Source organism: Homo sapiens, chromosome X (assembly GCF_000001405.40).
Source record: "Homo sapiens chromosome X, GRCh38.p14 Primary Assembly".
NCBI classification, from domain to species: domain Eukaryota; kingdom Metazoa; phylum Chordata; class Mammalia; order Primates; family Hominidae; genus Homo; species Homo sapiens.
The window spans coordinates 16490060-16495809 of record NC_000023.11 but is presented as its reverse complement, the minus strand read 5'-3'; positions in this window follow the sequence as shown (position 1 = coordinate 16495809).

Here is a 5750-nt window from a genome sequence, read left to right as displayed (position 1 = left end):
GATGCTGCTACTACCTTTGGACTCTCAATGCCTGATGCTACTGCTGATTTTTTGGGAAATGCTCACACCACCATGTATAGCTTCTCAGCTGTCCTTGCATCTTCGTTTCTCTCCTTCAAGATCCAAAGACCTGGCTAGGAACATCTGGTTGCTGAGTTCAGGTCATATGCATCTACACAGCTATTGGGATGCTAGAAGAGGAAATATATGGCCCCCAGACCTGTGCTTCTCAAAGTGTCATCTGCAGACTGGTGCCAGGCCTTGGAATGATCATTTTTATTTTGTGATGAGGCAAGGAACTCATGCTCGAATGTAAATCAATTTAGTGCTTTTCCTACTTAGGCAGCTTTGCTGTGGAAAAAGTGTCAGTTTAATTAAACAGTGTACTACTAAATAGAGCAGCACTTTCCTTGACTTCATGATGGGAGACTAGGACCTGACATCTGGGGACTCCCCACAAAAGAAGAGTGTTTGGAACCCATGTTGTAAAAAAAACAACAAATATCCACCACAAATGAGATCAGGCTGAGTAAGTCTGATGTCTACTACTCCACCATAGAGACATTTTTGCCATCAGTAATGTGTGCATTATGAGCATCTAGACATACCCTCACCTGGCTGGTGTTTAGTTGGATATGGTGATTTTGACTGTCACTACTGTCTTTCCCACAGGGCAGGTTGCTAGCTACCCTCTTGGGAAAGAAAAGGTTGGGGGAGACAGTTTCATGCCCACCCAAGTTGGCTGGTTGAGACTCTTCACTGTGATGGTTGAGCCAGTGACCCTCAGATGACCTTGGAGTGGGGTTTATCATCTGTCCATTGTGAATCCTGCCCTTTCTGTCTTCCGTAAGCCAAATACTCATAGCACCTTGATGGAGCAGTTCTTTATCCAGTGGTTCAGGAAATGATCACAATTTAAATAGTTGGAGAATGGTGTGAGAAGGAAAGCAAGTATTACAACTCTGGTTTAGCTTCTTTGGTCCTTTGTATTATACATAGAGGCAAAAGCATCACTCTGTGAGCCGTTAGAGTATGTCTCATGTGAATTCCCCTTGTTCTCTTGCTCTTCCACTTCTCCTTCAGTCCTCTCTTAAGATCTTCCCTGTTGAGTGCCCCTCCCAGCACTTCCCTAGAGATTGCTAACCCTCCCTACAGAGTAGTAAAATTCCCATCTCTTCTTGAGACTTTTGAATTCAGACACCCCAGTAGTCTCCTGGATGTAGAGGACTTTTCCCTTCACTTTAGCTGGTTATCACAGTATGGGAAGCTCTGGTCTTATGAATGGGGTGGAGAAAAGACAGTAGAGTGCAGAAGAATTCCTTTTAGGTTCCTAAAAATTGAGCACCAGTCACCATCTGATATGGTTTGGATATGTGTCCCTGCCCAAATCTCATGTCAAATTGTAATCCCCAGTGTTGGAGGAGGGGCCTGATGGGAGGTGATTGGATCATGGGGGTGGAGTTCTCATGAATGGTTTAGCACCATCCCCGCCTTGGTACTGTGTAGTGAGTGAGTTCTCATGAGATTTGGTTGTTTAAAAGTGTGTGACGGGGCGTGGGGGCTGACGCCTGTAATGCCAGCACTTTGGGAGGCCCAGGTGGGAGGATCACGAGGTCAGGAGATCGAGACCATCCTGGCTAACACAGTGAAACCCCGTCTCTACTAAAAATACAAAAAATTAGCTGGGCGTGGTGGCGGGCGCCTGTAGTCCCAGCTACTCAGGAGGCTGAGGCAGGAGAATGGCGTGAACCTGGGAGGCGGAGCTTGCAGTGAGCCGAGATAGTGCCACTGCAGTCCAGCCTGGACGAAAGAGCGAGACTCTGTCTCAAAAAAAAAAAAAAAAAAAAAAAAAGTGTGTGACGTCTACCCACTCTCTCTCTTGGTCCTGCTCCTGCCATGTGATGTGCTGGCTCCCACTTCGCCTTCTGCCATGATTGTAAGTTTCCTGAGGCCTCCCCAGAAACAGATGCCACCATGCTTCCCGTACAGCCTGTGGAACTGTGAGCCAATTAAACTTTTCTTTATAAATTACCCAGTCTCAGGTATTTCTTTATAGCAATGTGAGAACGGACTAATACACCATCTAAGGGATGAATGGCCTTTGAAAGACTACTTAAAAATTGCACGATAATATCAATATGATCTTTCTCCTCCTTATTAAACTAAGCTGCATTCATTGCTTATACATCTTGAGTTTCAGTACAGAACTTCCTATGATAATGGACTATGAATGGTGCCACAGTGAAGTTGCTCTTCTCCAAAGCTCAGTGTTCTTCCTGCCTCTAACTCTGATCACGAAGGAAGGGAATGTTGGGGAGAAGTTTTAGTTCAACCTACCTTATCCTTCTACTCTGTCTATAGCTGACAAACTCCAATTCTCATAGATTAACCCTCAATCAGGTTATAGACACATCTTGTAGTTTGAGAGCACAATTCCGTATCTCTAATATAACTTAGAAAGTTCTGATATTATAGACTAATCTGAGCTGCTTACCATGTACCCCACCAAGAAAAGCTATGAAAAAAATGCATGTTAACTGCTATGGACTTGAAAACAAGAAATAAAAGAGGAAGAAAGGAAGGGAAAAAGAAGGAAAGAAAAAGTAGGAAGGGAAGAAAAAAAAACTCATATTTAGAGAATAAAAGATTATCTTTTCAAATATTATGTAGTGGGTAGGTTAAAATAATTGGAATTTTCTGGTGTAATTAACTTGCAGTAGAATGGCAAATATCCTTCATCTGTCATTGGACTCATGCCATAATTATTTATTTTTTCTATGGAAAAAAAGGACTGGAAATCTGTTTTATTTATTTTTATTTAATTTAATTTATTTATTTATTTTGAGATGGAGTCTTTCTCTGTCGCCGGAGTGCTGGAGTGCAATGGCACAATCTTGGCTCACTGCAACCTCCGCCACCCAGGTTCAAGCAATTCTCCTGCCTCAGGCTCCCAAGTATCTGGGATTACAGGCGCATGCCACCACACCCGGCTAATTTTTGTATTTTTTAGTAAAGATGGAGTTTTGCCATGTTGACCAGGCAGGTCTTGAACTCCTGACCTCAGGTGATCTGCCTGCCTCGGCCTCCCAAAGTTCTGGGATTACAGGTGTGAGCTACCACACCCTGCCAAAAATCTGTTAACTTTAGTACGTTAAGTGCAGCCTCTTTCTAATGGGATTTGCATTTGTAAAGAAAAGGAAGGATTTTTTACCTGAGGCAACCTAAAGGCAAGTGTGCTTAGGGCATTCATCGATTTCACTAAAAAGTGATCTTTAGCTTCTGCATCCCATAACTCCAGGTTCAAGGGTTTTTTTTTTTTTCACTGAGTTGATCTGGTTTAGTGTTTTAAGGTGAAAGCATGGTAAGTTACTATAGAAGAAAGGAAAATTAAGAAGAGTGGGAATGAAGGAGGAAGGTTGATGGTGCATGGGAGGAGAAGAGATGGGCACACACCATCAGCACATCTGAATGTAGGAAGTGGGAAAGGTAGGACTCGGTGATCACACGGTGTGAAATTTCTCCGATGTTTCACATGTGTGGGACAAAATCAATGAGTCACTCAGCAAGCATTTTAATGAATATTATGCATAGAGCAATGGGGGAATTGGAGATATTAAAAGGTAGACACACAAAATTATTTAAAAATTATTTTAAAATTCTATATTGTAAATGCTAAAGGCTGAGTAGAAACAAGAAGTGTTAATAGCTCTGAGTAAAGGTGCCTCTAATTCCTCCTTGGAGTTAGACCTTGGTTAGGCATTGAAGGATGGAATGATAATGTCAAGAATTGTGAAAGGTCTGAGATTTGACCCTACTTGAAAGCTGACAAGTTAGCTTGCCACAGTTTCATGGATACTGGCAGAAGATATAAGACCCTCGGATCAGAAACAAAGACTTTATTGCTCACAGCACAGCAAGCAGAATGAGCCAGAATCTTTTTTTCTTGTTTTGAAAGAGAAATTTACAGAGGGAATAATAGAGGAAAATAAAGGGATCAGGAAGTACAACTTGTTCCTGACAGAGTAGAAAGTGAGAATCCAAATTGGGTTTTGACACAGCAGATGTGTAGCCCAGACAGTAGAGCTGGCTACACACACAATTATCTCTAAGAGGAGGGCTGGCTTCCGGTTCATTCCTTATTCCTCCCCCATGGCTCACTCCTGCTGGTTTTGGTCTCTGGTTTCTATAGAGGGCACTGGTTCAGCTGCTAAATGAAACATAGTGAATGAGGGGTTGTTATCCCAGGGTCTGTTTTTTTCCCAGGGTCACCTTTCCATAGTCCTATGCTGTTCAATACTGCAGCCATGAGCTACATGTGGCAATGCAGCATTTAAAATGTGGCTAAACTGAAATGTGCTGTAAGTGCAAAATACACATTGAATTTCAAAGACTTAGTAAAAGGGAAAATAATCTCATTAATACTTTTTATATTGATTACATGTTGAAATGATAATATTTTGAATACATTATTTTAATAAAATACGAACATTAATTTCACCTATTTCTTTTTACATTTTAATATATGCTTCAAGAAATTTTAAGTTACACATGTGGCTCACATGTGTGGCTCATGTGATATTTCTCTTGGATAGGTACCTTTGAGCAAGAGAGGAGGCTCCCTGAGGTTCTCCTTATTATACTCCAAAGGCTGTGTTATTGATTTCCTGTTTTCTCATGGACCTCAGTTGGGCATGGCCTGGGCCATTGACCTGCATTAAACTGCAGTCCTCCTTGATGTACTCTGCTGCCCCTAACCAGAGTGTTTTCAGATGGGAGGAGCAGGGATATAGTCAAGACTTACCTTTCCTCTCATGACCTTGTCCTCTACTTGCCTTTACAAAGTTTTGCCACTCACTTTGCCACTCACAAAGTTTTGTAGGTAATTCAGGCTTTATGGAAGGGTCAAAGAATGCTAAAGGGAATTACAACCTATGGGGGAAGGACTTTCAAACTGTGTATTGATTGTGTCTTATTTCCATGGTCTTTGAAAAATGTACTCAGGGATTGAAACCCTTCACAGGGGATCCCTTTGTGCATCCTTAACCTTGCTCTTCTGACCTTGAGTCTTTACCCCTCCAGGAGACTACCATCTTCTAATATCTGTCATGAAAATCTGCTACTCTTTTTTTTTTTTTTTTTTTGAGATAGAGTCTTGTTATATTGCTGAGGCTGGACTTGAAACCCTGGGGTCAAGTGATCCTTCTGCCTCAGCATCCCAAGTAGCTGGGACTACAGGTGGGTGCCACTGCACCTGGCATGCTACGCATCTTGTATGAAACTCTACCAAGAACTCACAGAGATGGTCTTATCTAAGGATATTCACCCCCAACCCTGTTTTCCACTGCCTTTGAATGCTGGATTCCTGAGAATACTACCCTAACAACCTGTTAATAAGACAAAGTTAAGTTTACTCTTACCGCAGTAAGGGTGAGCATTACCTCAATGCAGTCTTAGTAGCTTCCTTAGGGGAAAGGGCTAAGTTGTGATGTTTATGAGGCTTCAGATACTAGTTTAAAGTGGGCCTTTCATGCAGAGGATTGATCATCATTGGATAAGAATCATGATATAGTAGTTTAAAATTGGTGGACACAGCAAGGGGAGATTTTGAGGTGAATGTTTTTATTAAAGAGTCTTAGGGAGTAAATAGCTGTTGATGCTGTCTATTGAATTGAATAGTTTGATTTTCACTTAAACAATTTTCTTGGGGAAGGTTTCTGGAAAAACCTTATTTGCAACTTTTATCCTCTTAG